We start from the raw sequence: 12,211 nt of genomic DNA on the forward strand, positions 1-12,211 counted from the left end.
CACCATTTCAGCCAGGCTGGTCTCAAACTCCCTATGGCAGATCATCTGCCCGACTCAGCCTCCCAAAGTGCTGGGATTACGGGCGTGAGCCACCGTGCCCAGCCAGATCATTGGTTTTTAACCTTCCTTATTTTTTAATATATGGACTTAATGGTATATGTTTCCTTCTAGATTCTGCTTTAGCAGTGTTACTGACCACATTACCACTCTTCTCTCCACATATCCAGCAGTGAAAGACTTCTGATGCTGGAAATGCAGAATGAATCTGCATGAATCTCTGAGTCACTGTCTGGGATGCAAGAGAGCTGCCTCACATGCATTGGCTAGTGATATATGCAAGAAACATACCTTTGATGTGTTGAACTGCTTTGTTTCTTTCTTAAGAGGCTGGCTATGGCCTATCCTATCCTAGCTGTTACAAGAGGGCTTGTTTTACAATAGCTCTTATATCTGTCCATATTGCAGTTTGCAAAGACTTCCCATTGATTCCCCCAAGTGTTTTTCCTGAAGATGTGGGGTTAACGGAGGGGTATTACAGCATAGCACACAACACAAAACAATTTTAATTTAATATACAGTCCCCTCCTTCCCCCAGGGAATTTTTCATTGCCTGTCTTTCAGATTCGGCCCTGACCTATTGTCAAGTTTTAAGGTCCCCTTTTCTATTTAAACCTCTTTCCTCACTTTCCATATTCTTGCTTCTTCCCATCCATCCTATTCCAAAGCAACCCGAAGCTCTCCAGCTTTGCTGTTGTAGCTTTTCTTTACCTTGGATCAAATCAGATTCTTACTCAAGGTCTCTTTTCTACTGACCAATGCATACTCAGATGTCTGTTAGGCAGAAATGGAGCAGTGGGAAGCCTGTTGGAGAAACAGGACAGGCCCTCCTGAGCTGAAAGGGTTTTCCCCCAGAATCTAGAGTGGTATTTTTCTTTATTGTACTGCAACTTACTTACTTCTATGCTCAGGTTTTTATTGATTTTATTTCATTTGCTTTATTTCTACATAGTTGAAATCATGTTCTTGTGGACTGCTTTTCTAACTTAATGTTCTATCAGAAGCATTTACCATATTACTGTATAATATTGGGAAACATCTGTTTTATATTCACATTTTTTCCTATTTAAAAACATAATTTTCAGTCCTGAAGGATATGAGAAGAACATGCAACTCCCCAAAATCCTACTCCCGGGCAGAAAATGTTTAACAAATTAGGCTGCATGATTTCAGCTGCTGACAGCTAGACAGAAAGAAGAATATTTCTAAATATGTCTGTGGAGAGACTGCTTGGACAGAGCTGTCCCTTGCAAGACTATACCAGAGGCATGGTCTTAGTGGGACAGCCTAGTGTTCTGAGCACCGGGACTGTCAGATTCACATGTATTTGGATGGTCCAGAGCAATTGTGGTGGCAGAAGTCTGTTTGCAGAAGGATCTAGAAACCTCTTGGGAAGGGGTCTAGCCTGTGAATGTTGTTCACTCTGGCCCAGCCTCAGAGGGAAGGGCTGTAGTAGAAAATGAATAAAAACAGGGCAGTTCACTGAAATTGCTGTGAGAGTACAGGGCGACCGTGTTTCGTGTTCTCAGTAATAGTGACGCACGGGGACAGGGAGGGGATAGTGGGAGGGATCTCTCCCCTTCATAGTAAAAACCCTGGGACACAACTGCTGAGCCTTAAGGCCATAAGCCATAAGGCCTGATTGAGTACAAGTCACCAGCTACAAAGAAAGGCAAGGAAGGTCAGGGGGCAAAGGTGGTGACCCTTAGCACTGTTTACAGATCCTCACTGAGGAGGAAAGAAAAGCTACAGGGACAGGTGGGCTTGGCCAGGTACTTGTAGCCATCAGGTTCACAGGAGGCCTTGAGGTCAGGTCAGAGGCAGGAAGATCCTGTGCTGAAGAGTAAAACTTGGAGAGGGGCCTTGTGAGATCTTGCGAGGGATCTGGAGAAATAGGATAGGGCAGTGATTAAAAAGGCCTATCAGGACCAGGCTAACAGGAGTTAGCCAGGGAACATGAGACAAATAAATAACTTGGAATCTGGCTTCATTGGAAGCTTGCTGCATAATCACTGTAGCTGCTCTCTCATCTTGGCCCTTTAGGCCCAGAAAGTAACAGCCCTGATATTATTAGCTCTTGAGTCTTGCACAGACCCTCACTGTTTCCCTACACACTTGCCACACCTTTGAAAATAGTCCTTCTATGAAATGACCTGTTAAATCAATTTGCCTAATATGAATGCACCATCTGCCTGCTGCTGGGACTACTGATGCAGAAGCCATTCTGTTGATGGCTCCAGGGGGACCCTCTGGAACTCTGGCTCTCAGTAACCAGCTCTGGAGATAAAAGACAGGGACTGAGATTTAAATGGTGGACCCTTTATATCACATAAAACTAAAGATATAGATTGTGACTTCACTGACATACTTCAGAGATCCCTGGTAGAAATTTGGTAATACATGGCAGCCTAACTCATCAGGATGAGTAGAGATTAAAGAGATCTGATTTGAGGCAGGAATGGGGTGGTGGTATTAGGGGACAAGAAGGCTACAGTCAGACCTCAGCCCAGGGCCATGATCATCACTCAGACCTATTCCTCTTGCTCTATGGAGAGGAGCTGAACAGAAGGCCAGACCCTGGAAGAGGAAAAGAATTAAAGTTGAAGACTCCCCTGAAGAAGGAGGAGGGTGGAATGGGTGGTACCTGGCACTAGAGTGTCTGCACAGGGAGTGGCATGAGTGGGCACCTCTACAACTTTGATGGAAGGAAGCAAGGTGCTTACAGAGTAGCTGTGGGGAGAAGAACTTTCTTCCCCTCTGACCTTCAGAATATGCTCACGTGGAAGGAATGCGTGAGACACACAGCTGGAAATGTTGAGAAAACACAAGAGCCTGGGCCTGAGGAATCTTAAAATAGGTTTGTTATATATTTAATAAATGCTGGAAAAGTGACAGGATTTGGAAAAGTTAATGTAAAAACAGCACCACCCTGGAGCACTAAATCTGGTTTTATTTACCCGGGCCATCTGGTACTTCCCTTTGGTAAAGTAAGGAATTTATACACATTGAAAACCAAGCTTTAATGCGTAAACTTAACAGAATGTCCAATCACAAGTATGTGATAGAAGTAAAGTAGGGGAAGAAATGACTCAGGTATTATTCCCCTCAATTCTCCCAGGACCTTTGCACATGCCATTCCCCATGTCTCCTCCCTCATATCCTGACGAAGGTTGAGTTTTCTTGTTATGCTCTGGTATGGTTCTTGTATTTTTTCTTCACAGCTCTATCATAGTTTGAAGTCATTTGATTAACGTCCTGTGTCACCCACTAGCTGATGACCTCCATGAAGACAAGAATGGTGCTCTGCTCACCACTGTTGCTCTAGGACCCAGTGGCTGACACCTAGATGCTCAATAGATCTTTCATGGATGACAACATGAAGGACTTTTAAAGCATGTCAAGTTGAGACTAGCTTCCCAAATTAGAGAAGGTGACACATAATATATTAATATAATCCTGGTAACCTCAGGCCTATGTTGCCTCCATTTCTCTGACACATTTCTGACACATTACCAGGAGGGAGTCCTGCTGATGTCAGGAATTCATGAGGAAGGGGGGTGAAAACTTTAATCAGATCAAATCTTACCTTTAGAGCAGGAGAGACATACTTTCTCTTTGATCTCCCTGAAACTGCCAAAAGGTTTTTGCCGAACTCATAGGTCTTTGGACCTTTCAGTGGGTGCTACAACTATGCAAATATCGTGGTGCACCAAGACCAAGCTGGAGAAGTTCTGAGGTTGTGAGGATATCTAAACTGTGCTGTGTTGATATTTTTATCTGCTCTCTTTGATGCAAGCTTCTAGGCCTGGTATACTCAAGTTAACCACGAAAACCAATGGCGGTTATATTTGGAAAGGAAGGCTATGCCCTGGTGAAATTATACGTGAGACACAAAAAATACTGAGGTCACTGGTCAGTGATGTTAGAGAGCAGCTCAGTAAGGCCAGTGGGAGGTGTGATATGGTGGCTTAATTAAAAGGCCTCTGGCCTGTGCCCTCTGCCTTTTATTCTTCGTCACTTCCTCCTTTCTGCTCCATGAAACATGAGTGTAATGGCTGAAGCTCTAGCCTCCGCCTCTTTTTTTTTTTTTTTTGAGACGGAGTCTCGCTCTGTCGCCCAGGCCGGACTGCGGACTGCAGTGGCGCAATCTCGGCTCACTGCAAGCTCCGCTTCCCGGGTTCACGCCATTCTCCTGCCTCAGCCTCCCGAGTAGCTGGGACTACAGGCGCCCGCCACCGCGCCCGGCTAATTTTTTTTGTATTTTTTTTAGTAGAGACGGGGTTTCACCTTGTTAGCCAGGATGGTCTCGATCTCCTGACCTCATGATCCACCCGCCTCGGCCTCCCAAAGTGCTGGGATTACAGGCGTGAGCCACCGCGCCCGGCCGCCTCCGCCTCTTCCTTAACAAAGGAAGAGCTAATTTCCCACGCCCCCCCTCCCACCACAAAGTATGAGGGCCACACTGGAGGGATGGTAGAGTGATGGCTGGAAGAAGTGTGGGGCTTTTGTGGAACAGCCTGTAATGTCCAACTCTGGACTATTTAGGGAAAGGAAATGAGACAGAAATTTTTCTCTTGTTTAGGCCACTATTATTGTGGGTCTCTGTTACCATCAGCCGAACTTAATTCCCGTGAATATATTTGTGAACACTAAATTATTGGTGCATCATAAGCTTTCATCATGTTCATTTAGATAGGGATCTGAACTTTGCCATAGGTGACTGGTAGTGATCTGGATCCAGTGGGAATTGTCTGGAATGTGATCAAGACATGAAATGTGCAGATGGGCCAGTGACGAGGGCTTACCTTTTGGGAGCAGTTGACAGGTGATAGATACCGATGACTTCTAGCTGATTTATTCCTCTTAAAGAGTCATCCTTTGGATGAATCGTGAGCTATGGAAACGATTGCTCACCCTGAGCTGTTTGGGGCTTGTGTTCTTCTCAAGATTTCTGAGGACCTGGCTCGAGCTTCTGTGTCAGAGTCCTCATTCTGACTATGGGGCCTCAGTCCTTTTTTGGTGTTTATGCTCTTTCTCTGGCTGCTGCCCTCCTTTCCTCTTCTGAGCCTTGCCAGTGTGGAACATGACTGTCTTCTGTGTTCCCCCAGAACACGGCTAAACCGCTTTGCCTGAAGCCTTGGGGATACTGGATGGTGGATAGAGACCCACATGCTCTGCCCTGTTCATACTTAATGTTCCAAAGAAATAGTAAAGTTCTGCAATAACAGTTTCTAAAAAAATTCAATCTTTAATTTTGTTGTTCTTTTGATAATTTTTTACTGTGGTAAAAATATATATATAAGTTGCCATTTTAACCATTTTGCATGTGCAATTCAGCAGCATTAATTGCATTCACAATGTCATACAATCATCACAATTTTTTGATTTCCCAAATTAAATTCTTTAAAAAATGTTTAAAAATTTTTTAAAAATTTTTGTTATTTTTGTTTTAGATTCAGGGGGTACATGTGCAGGTGTGTTACATAGGCATATTGCGTAATGCTGAGGTTTAGGCTTCTACCAAATTAAATTCTTAAATAGAGCCCTCTTTCCTGACCCAGAGATGTTATAGCCCCAGTGAGGTCATAGTTCGGCTTCTTTTTAAATAACAGGAATTCAGGAACTTGAAAAATCCCCATGCTTTTCTCTGGTATAATTTTAGCCACCCCTTCCTCCAGATGTCCCTGGTAGAATGCACAGATCTGTGGATGTATTGAGTGTTGATGGTACTGTCGAAGGCTGATGGTGGCCAGCCCCTGGAGTCTGACATTCAACTGGGAAGCAAACACCGTGGGACAGGAAGGCTACAGACCCTCACTCCAGATTCAGCTTTTGACCCTATTGCCCATTGAATGGTTGGGTGAGCAGTTCTGAACAAGGCACCAGGACGAAGGTAGCTTGAGACTAGGAAAACTAGAAGCTACAGCCAGGGAGGACTCCTGGGAAAGAGTATGGCCTAAGGGGAATGTGTGTGTGGTGGGCAGGTGGGCAGCAATGGGGGAGACTGCATCTCTGGGAGACAGAGGTCATAGCCTCACCTGAGTTCCACTCTACTCACCTCCCTCTCCCTGCTTCCAAAAATTTTAGACGGCTATGGTCAGCCTAGAATTTGAAGTCTGAATTTCAGATGATAAGGCAGAAGAGTTGAAGCAGATTGAGGGCAGAGAATTTGGGAAATTCTATTTGAAGCTGTGACTCTCATCTATGGATGTTCAGCTGCAGAGTCTCACCAGAATAATGTAATGTTGAGGCTGCTGGTGGCATTTTGGAGACTATGAAAGATACACAAACATGGAAACAAGATAGTGGTGACCTGGAGCAATAAACTCTACTTGTGTAGCTGAGGATGATCTTGTACAGAGTCCTGGCAAGAAGGTAGAGACGACAGGTCATTCTTAGATGGAGTAAAGGACTGCTAATTTTCAGACTTCAGTTTGATTCAGAAACTGTGTCCCTATCAGCAGACAGCCATGCCTGGGGAGCACCAGCCCCCTGCCATGCACTTAGATAATGGAGGGAGGGTTTTGTGGTCACATGTGGTAGGCCCCAAGCTTCAGATTCCCACTCATGACTCTCTTTCACTCCAGTCTGGTGACGAGTTAGGGACTCTAAGCTCAAGGACCCAAGGTTCCCCGAAACAGACTCAGCCCAGTCCTACTCCTGAGCCCTCTTCTTGTTGTCTCCTGACCTGGTGCCCAGGACACCCCCCCTCCCCACTTCCTGCCATAATCCTGAGTGCACGCACTCTGTGATGAGGCCTAGCTGTCACATGCACTAATTTTCAAAGTGCTCAGATTTGGTTCTCTTCTTTCTAGAAACCCATTTCAGAAAAAAGGAACCAGATCTTAACAGTAAGGAGACTGCTGTGCCAATTGTCAGACTCCAGTTTGCTTAGGTCTGATTGACTACACAGATTAAAATCCTGGGAAGGAATTAGGCTCAAACTGGAGTGGAGGGGTGGTGGGGGAAAGGCTTATACTCTCATTATGCCACAGCATCAGGGTAGGCTGCAATGCCCTTCCACACGTGGTGCCCTGAAAATGTCCCTGGTTATTCTTCTTTCAGCCATCATGTACTTCTGAGGTACCTATTTCTATCCTAGTGTCAGGCCATATGCCATGATTTCTGTCCACTCAATTAGCAGAAGGCCCCAGGGCACTTTGGTTTGAAAACTGGCTATATCTGATGAGGCTTTGCTAATGTGCTCTCAGAAGCAGAGTCCTTCTCTTATTGCCTCCTGTGGGGAGATTTGGACCTCTGTAGCAGAGAAGACTGTAAAGGTCGTAGAGAAACTGGGTTTTCGGAGGCTGCCATGCCCATCTTGTATACATGTATGCATTGTGCAACCATTATTCAGAAGGGAGCATAAGTCAGGGCATGGGAACAGAGACCCCAAACAGATATTGGCTTCCAAAAACGCTCAAATAACCCCATCCCCCAGTGCATTAGGAGTCAGAGTATTGTTGGAGGTAACCTGAAGCTCTGGTCCAAGTGCTTTCCTAGGTGTTCAAAGGTCTGAATGAGTGGAGCATCAGGCCGATTGGAGGAGAGGAGCTGACAGCACAGGATGTCTGTCCCTGGTGTGAAGCTGGAGGAGAGACTGGTGGTATTCCTTGGGGTGGGGTGAGGGTGACAGTGGGGGTGAGAGCTAGAGGGGGTGAGGGGTCGGGGGGGTGGTTGTATTGGCAGAAGACTAGTTAGGTGGTATTCTTGTTGAACTGAGGCAATGGAAGGGTTAGATTAAATCAGTGGTCTTCACAGGAGGTGTAGAATGTTCCATTGAAATGTAAAAGAAAAATTAAAACTTTTATTTTTACTTTTTTTTTAGTCTAAAACTAAAAAGCTAACCTTCACCAATGTTTACTATTATACATTTTACCCTCACTCAACTCATGCATTGGGTGTCCATGTCATGCATCATATCAGAGGCAAGTCAGGGAAGAGAGGAGGTTCTACAACATGGGGGATGGAGAAGGGGACCACAGCACCCTCCCTGGCCCACCTGCTTTCAAAATCTATTGCTAGGTCTTAAGAACTATTTGTGTCCTGGCAGTGGATAGACATATTATCAGTTTTCACTAAACTCTTCTCACAAAAGAGACAAGTGGTTTGAAGACATTCCTCAAAGGAACCCATAGACTGAAAATAATATGAACAATGTAAGCAAAAGCAAACTCAGAAAATGGCAAAGTTGACGATTTCTTACTACTAATATGATATCCATTATGATGATTAGTCAGCTCAGTAGTAGTCAGCTCTGACAACTAAGTTCAAATTTATAAAAAAGACTACTTGAAACAGGGATTTACACCACCATATGTTGGCCCTTGAGGTATTAGCTAATAATAATATAAACATGAAATCATGATCAGCAAGACATGTAAATGCTATAAACTCAGGGCAAGAAGACAAACCTCTACGATTTTTTTTTCAGGGATTTTCCAAGTCATGCAATACTTAGTTGTGTACTTTTTAAAAATTATTTTTTGGCCGGGCGCGGTGGCTCATGCCTGTAATCCCAGCACCTTTGGAGGCTGAGGTGGGCGGATCACCTGAGGTCAGGAGTTGCAGACCAGCCTGGCCAACATGGTAAAACCCTGTCCCTACTAAAAATACAAAAAAAATTAGCCGGGCATAGTGGCGCATGCCTGTAATCCCAGCTACTTGGGAGGCTGAGGCAGGAGAATCACTTGAACCCGGGAAGCAGAGGTTGCAGTGAGCTGAGATCATACCACTGCACTCCAGCGCCTGGGCGACTCAGTGAGATTCTGTCTCAAAAAAAAAAAAAAAAATAGTGCTCAGAAATCTCTTTTGAGGCTTCTTATTTAATAGTAAAAGACAAAATATCAGTCAACATCACTGGAAAAAACAGCTGTTGTATTTGCCATGGTTAAAGTGACTGAGTTAATACAGAGAGAAGATGGTAGTACATAAAAATGTATTCTGTTGGAAGACACACAGACTTTAAGTTTGAAGAATAAGTTTTAAAACACATGGTGTGTTGTGGAAGTTGGCTATATGGTTGGATGCAAGTTGCTAACATGTTTCACCTTGAGTATTTGCTATGCTTTTTGATAATGACATTCATAAAGAAATATTTTTTGTGATCTACTAAAGGAAAGATAGATATGTTCACAACAGTGAACAACTTAGTAAAACATGCTGTGGTTTTTATGGGTGAAAGTAAACCACTGAGGGAGTGGCTGCCCTCTCTGGAATACAAAATGAAGGGTGGTTGGTGTTTTGTATGACCAGCAAGACATGTAAATGCTATAAACTCAGCAAGACATGTAAATGTCTCGTTCTACCACTTGTCTCTTTTGTGAGAAGAGTTTAGTGAAAACCAGAAAACGTAATCTGTCTATCTACTGCCCAGGATACAAATAGTTCATAAGGCCTAGTAATATACTTTGAAGGCAAGGGTGTCATGGTCCCATTCTCTGTCCCCCGTGTTGCACAACCTCCTCTCATCCCTGACTATGCCTCTGATATGACACATGGCATGGACACCTGATGCATGAGTTGAGTAAGGGTTCCATGTAGTTAACATTGGTGAATGTTAATTTTTTTTATTTTTAGACTAAAAAATATGTAGAAATAAATGTTTTAATTTTTCTTTTACATTTCAATGGATCATTCTACACATTCTACTTTGAAGACTACTGATTTAATGTTACCCTTCCATTGCCTCAGTTCAACATGAACACCACCTCACTAGTCTTCTGCCAATGCAACCACTTCCGCTACCCCTCACCCCCTCCACCTCTCACTGCCACTGTCACCCTCACCCAACCCCAAGCAGTAGCAGCACCACCAATCTCTCCTCCAAAACTGGGGGGTGGTTCGTGTTCTGGTCCATGAGGACTACATGTGAAATTCAGCAATCACATTATTCATTTACAAAGTACAACAAGAAGTTGAAGCAAGAAGATCATGAAATACTATGGGATGTCAATAATATGGTTAATTAAAAAATTAAAATATAGCAGAATCTTTATAGCACTTTGTATTGAGATGTGGAATGAGACTAAAAATCTTTCTTATGATTCCAAGGTTTACTGATTATCTCAAGGCAAACAACTTGAACGCTGTGAATTTAAAGATGAGTTTCCTTAACAAAGAACAAGTGCTCCAAATTTGCTGACCTCCGATGTGCTGGCCTGAGATTGTCACAAGTGTGATACATAGCAGAAAGAAACACACATATACACACACATACACACACACACACACACACACACACACACACAGTATCCTTTTGGGTAAAGGTGATATTTCAGCAATGAACTGACGTAACAAATGTGCTTTAGAAGAATTGTGTTATAGGGAAGGCACTTTGAAAATTGACGTTTGGAACTGTTTCCATTATCATGTGATTTTCATGCCAAAACGAAGCGTGCTAGTGTCACCTATACTCTCATAGCCACAATCTGCAAAATGTAGAAGCATACTTCTAAATCCATTTTACAATATTGCAAATGCAGAATTTCAAGTGTTTTAAAAGTCCCATTTGTTAAAATGATTTGCAAGAACAGCTGAGGAAAACATCATTGAAAATGTTGATTTCATAGACAAAGAAGAGTTTTCACATTTGCAAAATTGATAGATCAAATTTAAACAGTAAGAACTATGATTTAATAAGTGCAAAGATACAGTTCTTCTATTCAGGTCTATTTAATCTTTGTGAGATATCTTTTTTTTTTTTTTTTAAAGAATAGCCATTAAGACCAAGTATGGACATTAACTGAACTTACAAGTACACTTTCTGGTCTCATAAAGTATTAAACTAAGATTTATTTAAATCATTTTTAATGATTTAATCACTAAATCACTAACAGATTAGTGGAATCACTAAACAGATTATTGCTAATAACTTTAAAATGAAAAGAAAAAGGTATATTGTACCACTCATAAAAATGAAACAATTTAAAATTATTGTTTCATCTTTACCACATCCTTTAATTTTTTTAGTGTTCTTTATAATATGTAACTCATTAACGCAGTCTCATGTGCAAAACGTTTATGAATACACGAATTGCGAGTATCAGACCAATCAGACTATGGGGTAGAAGGAATACAACTTGGTGCTTACATGAGACAACTCTGTGAAAGTGGTTGACACAGTGAGGACACACAGTGGGTGCTCACTAATGAAGTTTCCTCTCCGAGCTTGGTGACTTACTCGTTGAGAGAGGAAAGGGAGACCGAGTCAAGAATGGCTCCCAACTGTGGCCCCGTGGTGGTGCCGACCCCGGTATCATTCACTGAGACTGGAAACACAGAAGCAGGTTCTGGCGTTTTCCTGGGAAGCAACTAGGTAGTTTGGGTCTGGACCGCTTCCGCCGGCCTAGGAAGATCTAGAGGAGATGTTCCCTAGGCAGTTAGATTCACCATCTTCAGCAGCTCGGGGGCATTCTGGGCTGGAGATGAAATTCAAGAGCCATCATCCGGCAGGAGGTTGTTAAAACCATGGGAGTGGCTGAGATGCCCAGAGTGGGCCTTGGAGTGGGAGAGCGGGCTGGCACGGTGGGACCCTGGGGTGGGACCACAGAGAAAAGCCAGGCCGCGGAGGCCGAGAAGCTGTAGGTACCCAGGTATGTGAAAAATCTGGAGGTGGGGGCCGCGGGTGCCAACTCTGGAAACTGCACTCCAAGCGTTTCAGGAAGGAAGACGTGGTCAGCAGGCTCAGATGCCAGGAAGAGGTGAGCGAGGGAGGCTGCACGGCACCCAGTGGCTTTGGCAACTAGGAGGTCATTCAGGACTTTGAGGGGCAGGTGAAGGCAGAGCGAGGAGGGTTGGAGAGGGAGCGTGTGCACGTGGTGTGTGTGTGTGTGTGTGTGTGTGTGTGTGTGTGTGTGTGTGTGTGTAGGTGATCCAAGTGACCAGAAGGACGCCTGGAAGAGTGGACGGTTGGCGAGGGAGTGTGTGTGTGTGTGTGTGTGTGTGTGTGTGTGTGTATCCAAGTGACCAGAAGGACGCCTGGAAGAAACCAATGCTTGCGGGTTGCTGCAACTACAGGGAGCAAGTCACCTGTGCGGGGCCGAGACCCCCAGAGTCTCGCGCTGGGAAAAGTTGTGCGGGGAGGGGAGGACGTCGGGCAAGCCCGGGCGGCACGGGGAGCGGTGTGGAAGCCCGGCGGGGCCAGCGCAGTTGA

At 44.2% G+C, this 12,211-nt stretch overlaps 1 protein-coding gene across 1 annotated transcript in view, besides 2 other annotated features; it reads left to right on the forward strand.

Moving 5' to 3' along the window:
* Positions 6,587-6,866: an enhancer, noted in NCBI's record as "active region_4432". NCBI's record gives its function as "activates an Ori minimal core promoter by ATAC-STARR-seq in GM12878 lymphoblastoid cells {active_cell/tissue: GM12878}" and the evidence as "EXISTENCE:reporter gene assay evidence [ECO:0000049][PMID:35858748]".
* Positions 6,887-6,946: an enhancer, noted in NCBI's record as "active region_4433". NCBI's record gives its function as "activates an Ori minimal core promoter by ATAC-STARR-seq in GM12878 lymphoblastoid cells {active_cell/tissue: GM12878}" and the evidence as "EXISTENCE:reporter gene assay evidence [ECO:0000049][PMID:35858748]".
* Positions 12,027-12,211, forward strand: part of AMPD3 (adenosine monophosphate deaminase 3) — a 57,192-nt gene continuing 57,007 nt past the window's right edge. The window contains exon 1 of the mRNA NM_001172431.2: positions 12,027-12,154. The gene's annotated coding sequence lies outside the window, so the exon portion shown is untranslated. The remainder of the gene's footprint in view (positions 12,155-12,211) is intronic.

Source organism: Homo sapiens, chromosome 11 (genome assembly GCF_000001405.40).
Source record: "Homo sapiens chromosome 11, GRCh38.p14 Primary Assembly".
Lineage (NCBI taxonomy): Eukaryota > Metazoa > Chordata > Mammalia > Primates > Hominidae > Homo > Homo sapiens.